Source organism: Homo sapiens, chromosome 5 (genome assembly GCF_000001405.40).
Source record: "Homo sapiens chromosome 5, GRCh38.p14 Primary Assembly".
Lineage (NCBI taxonomy): Eukaryota > Metazoa > Chordata > Mammalia > Primates > Hominidae > Homo > Homo sapiens.
Genome location: NC_000005.10, coordinates 170,532,346 through 170,549,940, shown reverse-complemented (window position 1 = coordinate 170,549,940; position 17,595 = coordinate 170,532,346). Strand labels below are relative to the sequence as shown.

General features: G+C 43.9%; 1 protein-coding gene across 6 annotated transcripts in view, besides 1 other annotated feature; it reads right to left on the bottom strand.

Annotated features, from left to right (window-relative positions):
- The window catches only part of KCNIP1 (potassium voltage-gated channel interacting protein 1), a 383,146-nt gene that overhangs the window by 186,692 nt on the left and 178,859 nt on the right, over positions 1-17,595 (bottom strand). The window lies entirely within an intron of this gene.
- Positions 14,354-14,854: an enhancer, noted in NCBI's record as "H3K4me1 hESC enhancer chr5:169962091-169962591 (GRCh37/hg19 assembly coordinates)". NCBI's record gives its function as "activates a minimal SCP1, AML or CMV promoter by ChIP-STARR-seq in primed H9 embryonic stem cells {active_cell/tissue: H9 hESC(primed)}" and the evidence as "EXISTENCE:reporter gene assay evidence [ECO:0000049][PMID:30033119]".

Genomic DNA, 17,595 nt, shown 5'->3' with positions numbered 1-17,595 from the left:
TTGAATAAATCTTACTTTCTCTATAATCCACATTTAAATGTTCATTGACAGCATACAAATATCTGTGACAGTAGTGAATTCTACCCAAAAAATGAATTATTACTCCTCCAAGTTCCTTCTATTTCTGTGGTCACACATAATTTGAAAACACCGAGTCAAATAAAATTAAATAGGCTTCTTTATTGCAGGATTTCTTAGAGCCTTTAATGTCTAATATACTTCGTGAGTTTCCAAGAGAAGTTTCAAGCATATAATATTTCTTAAGCATATTTCAACATAAAGGACTTTTCATGGTCTAGTGTTTCAAGGAACATACTTTCAGAAACACTGTTAATGGGTTAAATCAAGTGTTCAATGGTTTCATCAACAGTAAACCTGCTATCATCATCCCAGATTTCCTTAATTATACTATTAATCTGGTTAAGAGACAGATGATAATTTTATCAATTAGTTGCATAAATGCCAGTTCCTTAAAACAGAGGAGGGGGGTTGAGGGATGGTGAATTACCTGTTGGGTACAATGTACACTATATGGATGATGGGTACACTAAAAGCCATGGCTTCATCACTGTGCAATACTTCCATATAACGAAACTGCACTTGCACCCTCAGAATCCATATTTTAAAAAAACGAAGGAGGTTTTCTCAGCCAAGAGCATTATCATGGCCTAGGACTGGAACTAACTTCTCTTTGCTTTAAAAAGAACTTAGGAATTTAATCCTTGAAACTCTGGATGAAAGTTTAGGTTAACCAAGGCTCATGTATAGCATACGCTTTTTCAGCCCAGGTGAGATTTTTTTTCATTAGAGTAAATATAGCTTCTTATGAGAGGATCCCAGGCTCCAGTGGACATGGAGTGAAGGCAGAAGAGCTTACTTTTGGGTGTTCAGAAGCCAAGCAGAGACCCCCATCCCTCACAGTGACCGTGAGGTCCCTAGTGTACTACTTGGCTTCTCCAGCCCCAGCCCCCATGCTACAGGTACCAGCATCAGGGTTCTCCCATCTAAAGAGGTTCAGGATGGCTTTAGCTGAGGGCAAACATGAATTCAGTGACTCCGAAAGCAGGGTGCTAGTGAATAGGTCCACTGCCTTTAAATAATTAGTTATACAAGAATTAATTATACACTGATGAGTCTCCTGGCCTCTGATGTTAACCACAAAATATGCTTAGAAACCCAGTAGGTAAAACCCAGGCCCTACCAAGTGGGAAGAGGTCCCAACATAAAACTTGAACCTCAAAGAGCTAGACCTTTAATACAAAGGTGAATGAGAAGTGAACTAACACAGAAAACCTGTCTGTCCTGACTTTGGTACTAGGAAGGTGGATGGGGAAGGAAGGAGCCTCATTTTCTTCAAGAATTTGTAACCATATGTGAGCTCTCACATGGGTTTGTGGTCTGAAAAACCTCAAATGAAAATTTTAATTGAAAATGAACTTGGGTTGTTACCTCTCTTGAGTTATTAAAAGGTGCAAACACAGTACTTTCCGGAGAAGTGAAATTTTAATTCATTCCTCTAATAATTATCAAGGATAAAGTTCTAAAGAATATTCACTGTCAACAATTGTAAAACACACAAGAAAACAAGGTACTGTGAGATAAGGCTTGCAGGAAAAAGAGATAGCAGAATCTGATTATTAAAGCTTCCGATATTAGAATTTTTATTAGCACAGAAAATGAGATGGCAAAATTTATATGCTTAATGAAATAAAAGAGGTTTGAACATTTCAGCAAGTAATAAGACACTATAAAAATGTCTTAGCAGATTTGAAAAATAACCATATAGAGCATCTAGAAATGAAAAATACATTAGTTCAAAATTTTAAGTGAGAAATGCAAATCAAAACCACAATGAGATACCATCTCACACCAGTTAGAATGGCTACTATTAAAAAGTCAAAAAATAACAGATGCTGGCGAGGTTGTGCAGAAAAAGGAGCGATGTTATACTGTTGGTGGGAGTGTAAATTAGTTCAAACATTGTGGAAGACAGCGTGGAGATTTCTCAAAAACCTAGAGACAGAAATACTATTCGACCCAGAAATCCCACTACTGGGTATATACCTAAAAGAATGGAAATTATTCTATTATAAAGACAGCTGCACGCGTATGTTCATTGTAGCACTATTCACAATAGCAGAGATATGGAATCAACCTAAATGTCCATCAGCAATAGACAGGATAAAGAAAATGAGGTATATATACACCATGAAATGCTATGCAGCCATTAAAAAGGGGATTATGTCCTTTGCAGGAACATGGATGGAGCTGGAGGCCATTATCCTTAGCAAACTAACACAGGAGCAGAAAACTGAATACCACATGTTCTCACTTATAAGTGTGAGCTAAATGATGAGAACACAAGGACACATAGATGGGAACAATGCATACTGGGGCCCACCAGAGGGTGGGAGGAGGGAGAGGATCAGGAAAAATAACTAATGGATACTAAGCTTAATATGTGGATGATGAAATAATCTGTTCAACAAACCCCCATGACACATATTTACCTATGCAACAAACCTGCACATCCTGCACATGTACCCCTAAACTTAAAATAAAAGTTAAAAAAAGGAAATTTTAAGTCACAATGGACAGATATAGATGGAGCAAAGAACTAAGGAGACAATTAGTAAACTCTTAGATAGTTATAAATAAAACAAGCTAGAGAGACAAAGATGGAAATAATGGAAGACGATGATAAGATGTGGAAGAACAATTCCAGAAGATGAAAGTAACATCACAACCTGTGACGGAGAAATATTAAAAGTAGTTAGAGAGAAAAGTTAGACCATCTACAAATAAATAGCAATTAGGCTAACATCTGTCTTCTCAACAATAACAATGAAAGCCAGAGGCAGAGGAATGATATTTTCCATGTGTCAAGAGGAAACAATTGACCAACTGTAAATGAATACTTAGTGAAATTACATTTCAAGAATGAGAGCAAACAAATTTTTTATGTTTGAATAAATAAAACAGGTCCTCACAGAGGAAATTCTAAAAGATGTGGCTTAGTCAGAAGGAAAATTAGCACAGATAGAAAGTCAGAGATTCAAAAAGGAATACAAAGCAAATATGTGATTAACTCTAAATTAATATTTATGTGCGAGTGACTCTAAATATTGCTGTATATATTAATAATAATAATGTCTAATTTGTTGACTTAAAAATAACAAGATAAGGTATTGCTTCCAGGTAAGATGTAGTAGATTGTGGCAGGCTGACTCCCCTACTGCAACAACTATTAAGAAAAAAAAAGAAAAGCCGCAAAAATAGAAAATTTGAAGACATCAGAAAGCTGTGGAAATGAGGACAAAGTGGGTCCTCTGTAGGCTGATAACTCCTGACAGTTTTCTTCCCTGTGGGCAACTGCTGATTCTGGACGTGGGTTGAGGACTGGCATTGGCCCAAGCAGAGGTTGTCTACTGGAGAAAGCAGAAACCAAGCAGCACTTTTGGCAGTTGTGCAGGGCTGGCATGATGGATTGGAAACAAGAGAAGCCTGAAATATAAGAAGCCAAGTGACTGTTGGCTTTAACGCATAGGACACTGCTAAGTGCTCTATGCAGCTCAGGTGGCTGGGAAATGAGGATGGAAGGTTGGAATGAAATTTCTGCTAAACTCACGGGACTTAGGAGACAACATTCCATGAGAGAGAGAAAGGGCCTGACATAAATCCCTGTTTTTCCCCTCAAGATATTTGCCAGATTTTGAAGATAGCCAGAAAAGCTCAAAACTTCTAAAGAGCAGGACTGAATCTCTTCAGGCTTTTAGGGCTGAGGAGACAGAGACTAGCTAGGCTCCCAGCCAAAGCCATGAAGACCACACAAGGAAATGGGAAAAGCCAGAGGTGGTCGATTCAGTCTTTCTCAAACTGCAATCCTCTTAAATTTCTGACTAGACTGAGGTCATCAGCCTTCACCCTGACTCTCCAACAGAGGAAAGGGGGAAGCTGCTCTGGTGGAATGTATCAGCTGAAACCTCCACAGTTCTTTTACATACAATGTCCAGCTTATGGTCAAAATTATGAGGCATGTGAAAAAGCAAGAAGAGAAAAGAAAAGAAGCAAAGCAAAGAGAAAAAGAAAGCTAACAATAAAAACAGATCCATAGATGACCCAGCTATTGTATTCATCAGACAGGACTTTGACTATGGTTATTCTGTTAAAGAGAATAGAGAAAAAGATGGGCAAAATGAACAAAAACATATAGCCTTCTCAAATCTAGTATCTGTTAATAGTTACTTGGAATCAATAAAATAGTACAAACTTACTATATGGGTTTACAGCAGACTGGACATAGCAGACTATAGGGTCAGTGACTTAAAGACAGAACAATAGGTAAAATTCCAATTAAAACCAGAGAGAAAAGAGAAAGGAACATTAAAAGACAACAGTATGAGTAACACATGGGGCATTATCAAAGGTCTAACATACACATAATTGGAGTCCCAGAAGGCAAGAAGAGAAACTGGGCAGAAGCAAAATTTGGAAAGACAATGATCAAGAGTTTCCGAAAATTGATGAGAGAAACCAACTCATTGATTCAAGAAGCCCACCAAGCCCTCCAAAAAGTTAAACACAAAGAAAATCATAACTACACATATCATAGTCAAAATGCCGAAAACAAAGGTAAAGAGAAGTTCTCAAAAGCAGTAACAAAGAAAAAAGACATTACCTTCAAGGAAGCACCAATAAGGTGGATTTTTCAACAAACACTGATGGACTCTAGAAAAATCTTTAAAATGCTAAAGTAAGAGGAAAAGAACACTGCCACTCTTGTGTTATATACACAGCAAAAAATCCTGCAAAAATGAAACAAAATAAAGACATTTTCAGACACACAAATGCTGAAAATCAGCAAAAATTTAGTGCCATCACACTGACACTAAAGGACATACCAAATAAGAATCTTCAGGCTGAAGGAAAATTATTCAATCCAGAAACACAAAATTGCAAGAAGGAATGAAAAACACTACAAAGGAGAGATATTTGGGTTAGTATAAAAGAATATTGGCTGTTTAAAATGACAATAATGTCTTATCAGATTTATAACTATGCAGAAGTAAAATGTTTAACAACAGCACAAAAAGAAAGAAGTGGGTACAGGAGTTTAACTGTTGTAAAGTTCTTGCATTGTTCAGGAAGAAGTAAAAGTCTTAACTTAAAAATACACTATAATAAACTAAATATATATATTAAAACTTCTAGGGTAACCACTGCACAAAATTCAGGAATGTGAAACAAGAAGCCAATATAAGGAAAAAAATACAATAATAAAACTATTTACTTAATTTTTGAAAAGACAGGAATGAAGAAATAAAGGAAGAAAGAAGAGATAGTACAAATAGAAAAACAAATAGGAAGGTGCTAAAAATAAACCCAACAGTGTCTGTAAGTATAGTAAATATAAATGACTAAAAGTAACAAGATAGAACTAAAATGATGAACAGTAGCCTATGCATCAGGAAGGAGGTAACCAGAGTCCAAACACTGAAAAGCTATTATTGTTCAGGAGTTAAATGAAGTATCAATGAGATCTAGACATTTAGTGGGTACATGTTAACATGTAATAGTACATGTTAAAATATCAAGGGTAACCATTAAATGAATCAACTTAGTAAGCTTTCTATTCTGAACTACTTTAGAAATTCTTGTCAGTTATTTTATTATTATTATTATTATTTTTAGTAGAAATTGGGTTTCCGCCATGATGGTTAGGCTGGTCTAGAACTCCTGACCTCAGGTGATTCGCTGGCCTCGGCCTCCCAAAGTGCTGGTATTACAGGTGTGAGCCACCACGCCCGGTCTCTTGTCGGTTATCTTGAATTTGACAACTAAGTGTCATTATTCAATTCTCTGAGGTTACAAGGTTTGATAGAGAAGTAAAAATCTTCATAACACAAAAATACTTACGAATGAGCCGGTCACTTAAACGTTTTATGCACGCTTAAGTTTTACCTCCCATTAACGCTGGTTTCTAGCCTTACTCATTTAACCTAGATCTATTGGTTTCCTTCGGCTTGTTGGTTGTTGTAAATGTCTGATGATGTAATGGAAATTCAAAGGAAATTGATGAAGAGGAAAAGTGCAAATCTTTAAACAGATTCAGGATTTCATAAAAATAGCAAAAGTATTGTTGGATAACTTTTCCATTCACATTTAACTACAGGCAAATGAGAAACTGGCAGAGTTAAACTAGTTAGCAACCGAAGAAGAGAAAAGTGACAAAGTTGTCAGGTGCTTCAAAGGAGAAAAATGTTATCTTCTAACGATTGGAAGAGGCCTATGGGAAAATGGATAAAGCTTGGAAATATTTGCCCCAAATGACCCTCTTTATTTATTGTGCTGTGAAAGTCAAACAAAATCAAAACTGTTAGACTGTGCTAAGATAGGATTTTGTCTAAAAAATGTGCCATGCCTCCCCCAAAGTCAACACTTGGTAATTCCTATTTTTAATGGAAAAAATTAACTCATTTGACACTAAAACCTACATTTTGTTACTAGACAATAAAAAAGACTTATTTTTGTGCTTTCAATTTTATTTTTTCAAGATTTGGCCCTACTCCAACCTTTTTCCTTCACTATCACAGTAAATAGTCAACATTTGTTTTAAGAAGTTTCTCTTTAAGTGGTATTTGTACTGGTACCAATTATTCTTAGAAAAATGAGGACTGTCCGTGTCTACTTTCTTTTACCTGATAAACATCTTTCTGTGTAGTATTTACATAGGCGTGAACGCTCATGTCCCCCAGTATTCATATGTTGAAACTTAATACTCATTGCAGTGGTGTTGAGAGGTGGAGCATCTGCGGGGTGATTAGGTCACGAAGGCAGGGCCCTCATGAATGGGATCAGTACCCTTACAAAAGAGGCCTAACAGAGCTTCTTTGTCCCTTCTTCTATGTGAGGACATAGCTAGAAGGCACCATCTATGAAGAACTGGCCCTCACCAGACATTGAATTTGCTTGTGCACTGACCTTGGACTTTGCAATACATTTCTGTTATTTATAAATTATAGTAAATTACAGTAGTCCCCCCAATCAGCAGTTTCACTTCCCGTAGTTTCAGTTACCCATGGCCACTTGCAGTTTGAAAATAAGTAAGTACAATACAGTAAGATATTTTGAGCGAGTGAACGAGAGAGATGCCACATTCACATAACTTTTATTATACTATATTGTGGTAATTGTTCTATTTTATTATTAGTTATTGTTGTTAATCTCCTACCATGCCTAATTTATAAATTAGCCTTTATCATAGGTATATAAGTATAGGAAAAACATAGTACATATAGGGTTTGGCACTATCTGTGATTTCAGGTGCCAACGGGGGGTCTTGGAATATATCCCCTGTGGATAAGGGGAGACTACTTTACCCAATCTAAGGTATTCTATTATAGCAACCTGAATGGACTAAGATAGTATGTGTGTCCTATTTTCTTTTCCATGCAGGGTTGAGTCTCGACACTTTCTGTTTCTGACAATTACTGTGAGCCAGGCACTTTGCTAAGTGTATATCTCATGTAATCTTTGTAGCAACTCTATGGGACATTTTAGATTTAAAAGCTGAGGTCTAGAGAGTTCAAGTGATGAACCTGCCCAGTGCCACATGGGGAGTTTATGACTCAATCCATATCTTCACCTGAGGTGTGTCTGACTTCCAAACCAAGCTGTTAATTTTGATGCTACACTTTCCAATCCATCTTTCTCTCTCCAGGGGGTCACGACGCGGCCTGCCACATAGTAGGTGCTTAGTAAATGTTGGCAGATCTGAATTGTTGCTTAAGTCAGGTCCTCAGTTCAGTGTGACATGGCTGAATAAATATTATTACTGTTGTTCAGTTTGACTTTTGGGCGTATGGCTAGGAGCCCGGGTGCAATAAATCTGTAGATGGAGATACCTCTTTAGAATGGGATCTGGCAGTGAGCATTTTCCCCATCTTGCTCTGTAGATGATATTACTACGATGGGAGAACTGGAAGAGAACCAGTAGTAGATCTCAAGCTTCTAAAATGTGCCAGGCATTATCTGGCATGTTTTCAATTTGTTATCTGGATCTCCTAAGAACTCTGCTAGGTAGGTGTTATCGCATTTTTGTAGATGTGCAAATGGACCTCAGAGAGGTGCAAATGGACCTCAGAGAGGTGCAGAGGCTTGCCAAGCTTCAGCCTGTACATGGCAGAACCTGGGTTCAGGCTGTCTGACTGCAAACCTCTTTCCCTCTTCACAACATTACTTTATCATTATGGCTTGGAGCATCCAAACTAGGTCAGAAGGTGGGTGGGTGGGTCATGGGTGGGAGTTTGCTTTGTGGTTCTGCCACTGCTCTGAGAAGAAGATGACAAAGTACTCAGTCACCTGGGTGGCTGGAGTATGCAGCCTCAGGAAAAGAGCTTGCTGGTGACAAGTGTTGAATAGCCCAGCCCACATTTCTGGGGCAAGGCTGGGAGCATCATTCATTCAGCTGAGAAAGATAAATCCCTGTCAGTGGGATTAATGGAGCTGGTAGCACTCACTGTTTGGGACCAGCTAAAAGCTGATTATGAGTTCAGACAGACACTTCACAGTCAGAAGGACTGAGAAATGATTGGGGCAGACTCCAGGGGGTGACGGTGAGAAATGACCAGTCCAAAAGGAATGCTTCAGGCCTGGCACAAAGGACAGACAGATGGCTATGGGTCATATGGAACACTGGGTCACTTGCAATGAAGAATCAGAGGCAGCTGTATGGAAGGGACCTCAGAGGTCATCCTTTTCCCACCCCTACCATTGGCCCATTTTATAGATGGGAAACCAAGGCTCAGAGAGTGGAAGGGCCTTGTCCAAAGTCACACAGCCAAGATTATCAAGCTCATACTTCATAGCTGGAGAAACTGAAGTTTGGAAACTGTGAGATCTGAACTTGCCTAAGATCACATATGAGATTGTCTATCTCTATACCCCCATTCTATAGATGAGATCGCTGAGGCAGAGAGAGGGCTCAGAGAGGGCACATTTCATATCCAGTGCAGAAATGGCACACTGGGCAGCCTTAGATCTGTTAGCCTCCACCTACCTTTCGGTGTGGCCACTAAGACCTTCTCTACCAGGGGAAGTGGGAAGTGTCTGAGGTTCTTATTCTACCGGCCGCACACTATCCTATGGCCTACTGGTGTTTTGGGGACCTCACCTTCTGCAGTTGAAGGCAAGTTGGTTTGGAAGAAAAAGCCACTGTAAGGCAACCATTATGGCAGGAGTGGGACCATGGTAAGCCCACTGGAGTTTCTGATATTTCAGATGCCTCAGACATGGGCCACAGTGCATCCTGCATTACTGAGGATGGGCTGCCCAATCTTCTCAGTCATTACTCATAGCATTGTGGTCAGGGAAGGGCAGGTCTTCATCACATGGTGGGCTTGTGAATTTCCACCTGTTACCTGAGAAGCACCATGCTCTCCAGTGTAATTGTGGATAAATTATTGTCCCCAAGATCCACATAGCAGGGCTGGGCAACAGCTGTTGGTGCAATAACTCATCACGAGGCTCATTGTCTGACAACCTCAGGGCTGTAAGTATGCTGGGCTCTAGCAGCCTGCTTACTGTGCCTCAACATACCTTTTGAGACTTTTGCAGGGTGGAGTGAGGAGTGGCACTGGGGGCAGGCACTCTATCCAAGAAGCCTAGCAGCTGCTGTCTCTACAGGACGTAGGCTTTGAGGGAGCCATGCCCCCAGGAAAGCTCCTGAGTCTGTTTCCTTGCCCTGAAATCTTGTTTGTCTCACATTTGAGTTTTGTGAGATGATTTCCCTGGAATCTAGAAGGAAAGCAGCTTATACTGGGAGCCTTACTTTACATCAGAAGAACCCAGACCCAGGCAGTGAAAGTGCACTGGTCAGATCCACACAGCAGGCAAGTGGAGCCGCTGAGACCCGCACGCAGGTTGAAAGATCGTTCCTTTATTATTATTATTTAAAAAATCTTTTCTCATTTCAGTGTGGGCATGCAGGCACTGGAAAGGATACATTTTTATTTACCCTGAGTTCTTAATATTTGCGACCTTGAGAACACAGAGAGCTGGGCTTAGAAGACACATTTAAACTTCTAGCAATTTTTGGGCCATAACCAAAGAACCTATTCCCCCCAATTCAGCCCCTCACTTCCCCCAGGTACTTCTTGACATTTGTCCTTAACAACTTGTTGAGCACCTATCCTGTACCAGGCCTGAGTTCTAGGTGCTAGAGACAATGGTGAACAGGCAGGCCAGGTCCCTGCTCTTCGGGGGCTTGAAGTCTAGCGAGGACAATGGATAACAGACCAGCAGCACGTTCACAAGATACTTTAGGTTGGGATGAGCGCTATGGGGAAAATAAAACAGGGTGATGAGATGCAAGACCCTTGATGTGGACAGGGGCTTCTTCAGGCAGAACGGCCAGGAAGGCCTTTCTGAGGAGCAGGCACATTTGCTGAGATCCGGATGCCCAAAAATTGCAACCCACGGGCAGGTCTGGGGGTTGAAAGCAGGAAAAAGCTTGGTGTTGCAAAAGTGCAAGGAAGCCACAGCCAGTGGTGAAAGATGGGAGGTCAGCAGGGTCAGAGCAGGTGCGGCCTTGAAGTCTGTGGTTGGGAGTGTGGATTTCACTCCAAGGACCAGAGGAAATGTCCCAGTTTCATGCTGGGGAATGAAAACAAGTGTTTCCCTTCAGGCTTATTAAAACCTGAAGTAAAACCAGGAAGTGACAACCCGACATATGAATTAATAGTGACTTGTAGGAGGCAAATTTGCTGGCAATGAGGCAATCCTGAAATGTCTGCAATAGTGTAGACTAGAGATGAGTTTGGCTTGGGCTAGTGAGAAAACAGGAGGTGATGAGATGTGGACGAAATGAGACAGATTCTGGAGGCCATGATCATAGGACCTGCAGATTGCATATGGATGGTCTTTAAAGCCAAGAGAATGAATGACACCCCCAGAAGGAGGAATAGAAAGCCAGCCCAGAGCCCTGGGGCTAGCAGCAGTTCAGGGAGTGTCAGTGGAGGAAAATCTCATAAAGAAGGCTAGCTGAGAAGGAGTGGCCAGAAATGGACTCATTGAATAATATTGGTTCAATTAATGAATGACTGCAGGCACACAGGCCTTTGGCACTTAGAGGAACATATGACAAATGATTTCTCTAAGTGCCAAAGACCTGTGTGCCTTTGGTGAACCACAGGATTCCTCTTTGCTGGAGCATTGAGCATCCTGTGGTCATCTCTTCAAGATGGACAGTCCATAAACTGAGAGTTTTGGGGGCAGCATCTGGGTCTCATTATGCATCCCCAGGCCAAGGACACAGCTGGTGCAAGGGAGGAGTCTGGAATAAGGACTGAGAATGGGTAAGAATGGAGGTGGGGAAGAAGGAGGAGGAACAACTGTGTGTGTGGACAGACAGACCCTCTTGTGACCCTCATTCCAACAGGGTCCAAAATCAAGGCCACAAGCCTGGTGTGATGAGAAGAACAGGAGCTGGCAAGACTGTGGGGAAGAAACTGGTCATAGGGAGGCTTCCTACTCACCACCCCATTGGAAAGGGGGTTGGGAATAACAGTCGTAATAGAATATTTACCATCCATTGTGTTTCTGCTTTGTCAGGCCATGTGGGGCTGACAAAATCACCCCTGTTTAATTATTAGCCCAGCTTTCCGATGGCATGTGCCTCAGAGCAGTTGTGAGGAGGACACTTCTACTTGAGAACATGCCTTGGAAGTTCAAGCACGTGTACTCAGTAGCCTCCTGCCTATACTGGAGAGGGCATGAGGATAGTCATTAAGGGCTCTAGGCTTAGCTCTGGCTGTGAAACCTTCTCAGAGCCTCAGTTTTCTCATCTTTAAAATGGGAAAGGCTGTAGTAGCTTCCTCCCAGGGCTCTCTGAAGAACTGAGATTTCACATGTAGAGGGATTAGCACTGAGCTGAACTCATCAGTGTTCATTACTCCTGCTTTAAGTGCCTGAAGGGAAATTGTGCCAGGTCTGTGGCCAGACGGGACAGTTGCTTCATTCAGGGTCTCAGCTGGACACAATGGCACCCTCAGATTGGGGAATTGGAAGGCCGTGTAACAAAAGGACTGTGTACAGTGGTGTAGGGAGAGAGTGGGAAAGCACACGAAGAGGGCAGTGCCCTGGGACAGAAGCAGTGGGTGCCCTCAGCACCCCAATTTGATGAATGAGGAAAACCATCAACAAAAGGCCGAGCAAAGAAAGCTATGGAAGAGAGCCATGCCCTATAACCCTCAGGGAGGGAGCCTGGGAGTTGACACCTCGTGTCACTCTCCTCCTGCCCGCAGTCTCCGCCTGTGTCATGAACAGCTGAAGTCGGAAGGCAGGGGCCTCATTCACAGAGTCCTCCCAGGTCAGCCTCCCCAGCCAACAGTGGAGAGGGGGTCCTGAGGACAAACAGAACATCCAGGGCAAGGGTTTGTACAAGGAACAAAGGGGGTGAGGAGGCATTTACTCCTGCCTGTATGACAGGTGGAGAAACTGAGGCTCAGTGGTGACATCACTTGCCTAGAATCACAGACCTTGGCTGCCTGACTCCCAAGTCCATGCCCTTAACTGTTGCTCCACATGGCTCCACTCATTCATACCCTGAGTTGAATGCTATTTTCCTCATTTTACAGTTAAAACAACATGTGCTTAGATGGGTAAGGTGACTTGTCCGAGGTCACACAATTGTCAAAGTTGGGATTGTAGGAACCAGGCCAGGGGACTCCACTGCCAGCTGCTTCTACTACTCAGCACAATCCTTTCTCAGCAGGAGAAGAGAAGGTTCTAGAAGCCACATTTAGATGGGAGCTGCTACCTCTCTGAGCCACCAACCTGAAGTGAGGTGGCCTGTGGCACAAGGACGGACCTGAGGGGGTGTCCCGGGAGAGTTGGTCGTGCTGGCAGAGGAACGAACCCTCGTTTCACTTTGCAAAGCCACATTCTGGTGAGATTGTGGAGCATAATCTCTCCTTCAGTAATAATTTTTCTGAGCAGAGCTACCCATGTTTGACTCTCCACTCCTTAATCCAGCAAGTCTAATGCCCAGGAGATGCATGCTTCCATCCTGCCTCCCTCCTTTCCTGCCCTCCCCCACTTTCAGCCGCTCTCCAGGCTTCTGAGTGGGTTTTCTTTGACTCTGTCCTCTGCTCTAGACAGAGAATACATAAGGCTGTTTGCCAAGGTCATTTTTAACTCCGGTGCACTGCAGGTGTGGGAGTGAGAGAGCGTTAAATCACAGAGAGGCAGCCCAGGGTAGCTCCGCTTTCCTTAATGTCTCTGCAGGTGTGTGGGGGCAGAGTGGGAGGACTGTAGCCTCTTCCCTCCCCTCACTCCACCTTGGCCCACTGAGACCTGGGCTGGTAACAGGAATATGTTTGCCTTCCTTTGTTTCCTCTTTGGGGAGGGTGGAGCTAGAAAGAAAGAGTTGGAGAAGGAGAGAGGGATTTTAATGATGGGAGAGAACAGGTTCTGGCCACAGCCTGGGCAGAAAATGGTCAGCTGTTGGGGGAAGGTGGGACAAGGTTCTGCCCGTTTTCCAAAGTGGATGTGGTCTTCTCCTCTAATAATAAGCCCATTCTACTGCTGGGAAAACTGAGGCCCAGGGAAAGCAAGGTCATGCACAAGGCTGCACAGGCAGTAGTAACTGGTGGAAGGATTGACAGCAAACCTACATCTCCTGCCACAGGCTAATGCAAGGAGCGCCTAGTTTAAGGCCCAGGAGCCCTTGGTTTCAATCAGGGCTCTGCTCTAACTTGCTGTGTGACCCCGGTCAAGGCACTGCTGCTCTCTGGGTTTCGTCATCTCCATTGATGGCTTTGTTTTTATTAAATGCTTACCATGTGTGAGGCACTGGGGATACTATGGGGAACAAACAAAATCCTGCCTTTACGGAGTTGATATTCTGGCGGAGAAAGGGTTATGAGCTAAACTCAAGACAACCATGTAGGTATTATCAATCCCATTTCACAGATGGCAAGACTGAGCTGCATCTCCACACTGGTGGGGCTGGAGGAGGCAGTTCCTCAGGCCCCTTTCCACTTGATGTTCTGGCTGAGACAGGCGGAGGGCAGTTCACACCGAGCTGCAGATCTTGGAGATTTGAAATCTTATTTATCTGGTCTGGAGATGAGCAATCAGAACTTTTTCCCTCAAAAGTAGATTTAACTTCTTAATTATGTTTGAGTTAGATTTACAATGATATTAATTCTCACTCCCTGAATAATCAAAGCAGGTGTTTGCTTAGGGAAAGACCTCTACAAGTGTGAGAAGCAAAGGGGGCTGGGATTTGAGAATTTCTGCAGGTTTTCAGAGGGTGATGATTCCTGAAGGGGAACAACTGGGGGTGGGGTGCTGGATTTACAAAGAGTTTGGGGCCAAGCAGGAGGGAGCCTCTGAGGGTGGTCCCCTCTCATCTTTTGTCTAGTCCCACATCAGCAGAAGTGGGAGCTCACTGCACACCTAGATATTGTTGTTGTTGTTGGAGAAGCAAATAAATGTACACTCCCCAGTTCCCTGTCTCCTGGCTTCTGCTATCCTGCAGAAGCTGCTGGCCTTTGCTTGTGGCCTCAGGCTCAGGGTATTGACATTAAAGAAGGCTCAAGTCTTCCCTCCTTTTTCCTTCACCCAAGGGCACCCCGCTTGGTTCCACTGTCATTAAGTCAGATGTCAAGGAGAACGTCCTTCCAGTGTGTCAGCTAGGGGAGTGGAGGACACGGCCTCCCTCCTAACGTCTCTGGGGACAGTGGATAATCTGACCTGTCAGTGGGGGTGAGGCACACTTGGAGATAGAGCCAGGCAGGCACTGCTGCCCCTGACCTCTCCTAGGTTGCGGAGACGGCGCTGGGACCCAGCCCCTGCTGTGCCCACTGGCTGAGTCAGCTACAATAGGGTCTGCAGCCATGGGGAGGATTTAGCAGCTAATGAGAAATGAAAACTGGGAGAAAAACAAATGAAGCAGCTACTGCCTGTGGAGGAAACATGTTCATCAGACTCTGGGAAACCGAGGCAACCAGCACAGCCCGCTGCACACAGGAGGCAAGTCTCCCGGGCCTCAACTCTAGGCCAGGCAGTCAGTCTTGTCTGTAGCCTCTGTTAAAAAAAAAAAAAAATCTATGCCGGGCATGGTATGGTAGCTCATGCTGGTAATCCCAGCACTTTGAGAGGCTCTGGTGGGAGGATCACTTGAGCCCAGGAGTTCAAGACCAGCCTGGGGAACATAATGAGACCCCCATTTCTACAAAAAATAAAAAAAAATTAGCTGGGCATGGTGGTGCCTGCCTGTGGTCCCAGCTACTTGGGAGGTTGAGGTGGGGGGAATCACTTGAGCCCAGGAAATCAAGGTTGCAGTGAGCTGTGGTCACATCACTGCACTCCATCCTGGGCAACAGGTGCTTCTGTAGCTCTGCCACCTCCTTCTCCTTCTTCTCCTTCTCCTCCTTCTCCTCCTCCTCCTCCTCCTCCTCCTCCTTCTCCCTCTCCCTCTCTTCCTTCTTTTTTTAAGGGTCTCACTCTGTTGCCCACGTTGGAGTACAGTGGTGCAATCACTGCTTACCACAGCCTCCACCTACCCTGCTCAGGTGATCCTTTCACCTCATTCTCCTGAGTAGCTGGCTCTGACACCTTACGTTCCTATGGGGACAAACCACAGACCAATGTAAACAGTAAGTTGAAACTAGAAGCTGCACCAATCAGGAGCCACCAATGAACCTCTAATTAGGAACTTTCCATTCCAACCCATTAAAATGGTTTTCTTTGTCTTGCTTCTGCAACCTCTTTATAAAAGTATCCTGTTTGGCCCCTCCTAGAGGAGTGCTAGTTGCTTGCTGTCTGTGCTATACCGTTTGTGAATCGCTGAATGTTCAAATAAACTTTTAAAAGTTTAAATGTGCATATGTTTTTCCTTTATCACCTCTATGGGGACAGACTGGCTGCAAAGTGAGTCTGGGCACCTTCTGGTGCCAAACTGAATGAATGCATGAGAAACTACACAGGAATACATTTGAGGTTCTGGCCCAGTCAACCGCCCTCCCACTCCCGCTGCCCACTGGAACCATCTAGTTACCGTTTATCAGAGATGTTGTGCTCATTTTGTGGATCAGGAGATGGGCATTTGGAGACGGAATGTGACTCCCTGAGAATTGCAATCTAATAGGAGAAATCTGATATTGGTTCACACAAGTCTTGAGATTCAAAGTGTGAGCATCTTCAGACCAGAGCTCTCACCTAAGCCACCTCATTTAGTGTTCACAGCAGCCTTCTGCTAACAGGTTTATTAGATCCCTTTTGAAGAGGTGGAAAATGAGGCTTAGCGGTGTTGAGTGACTGATCCAGTGACACACAGTAAGTAAATGACAGAGCATAGTTCCACGTGCTGGACCCTCCCAAGTTCCAGGCACTGTGCCACCTGCCCTCCTGTGAGGTGGTACAGCCCAGTGGTTAAGGCTCTTCAGCCTGGGGGCACCGTGGATCCTGGCATCATGGCCTCAAGCAAGTTACTCAGCTCTCTATATTAGTTTCCAGAGCTGAAGGATCAGGATAAAAACAGTACCCGCAGCGTAGGATTGCAGGATAGCGCAACAACAATGCCGCGAATCAGAAATGCCTGTTAAACTTGGCTGGCATTAACCCTCCCTCCACTATGCCCAGGCGGGGAATATAGAGGTGAGGGAGGTGCTGGGGTGCCCCTCTGTGAGCTCTCTGTCTGAGTGTTCTCCTTGCTTATTATCCACCCCTCAACACACACACACACACTCAGTGACCCTTTCCCTGAGTCAGACTGCAGGCAGGGTGTTCCACGCTGACTGCCTCCAGAAAGCAGGGAACAAAGAAGATGCTGCTTGTCTCCTGAGTTTCTAAACAGACTTTTACAACTGCAGACAAAGACCTGCAGTTGTGAGAGAAAAGGTTTTCAATTTCCTGAGCTTGCAGAATTCCAAAAGCTTAGAGCTTTGAAGGACTCCTGGAAAGCACAACAGATCCGGAAGGCTACATGCTTGGTCAGAGAGACCTCCACCTCATTATTCCCTCCTCTGGCCTTTGCATAAAACTTCCTTGGACTGGGAGAGGAGGAAGAGGAGAAGGAGGAAGAGGAGGAGAGGATCAGAAAGAAAGGAAGACTGGGAGTTTGTTGCTTGTCACTGGAGAAGGGACTGTGAGGGACTGTGACCCTCCCCTCCAGCTGAGTGTCCAGGGCAGGGGGAGGCAGACACTCCCTCTGGTGGCATGGGGGGCAGGTCTAAGAGCAGAGGCAGCCACACAGCATCGTGACCTGTGATCCATGGCACCACAATGGCTACAAGATATGTACAGGCCAATGGATCTGAGGCAGGGCCAGTTGACCCCATCCTAGAAAGACCAATATCTCCTCATGTCCAAGAGTGTTCCAGAAGTGTTAGAGAGAGAGAGAAAGAGAGAGCACATGCATGCGTGGTCTCAAAAAGTGTTGAGGTTCAGATGAAGAGAATACAAGAATACTCCTGGAGTCAGCATGGGCCTGTGATCTGAGATGAGGGGAGTCGAGGACATGTCAATGGATGTCAACACAGAAAGAAGACTGAGGACCAAGGAACAAAAGCACCAGCAGAAACTGCCTGG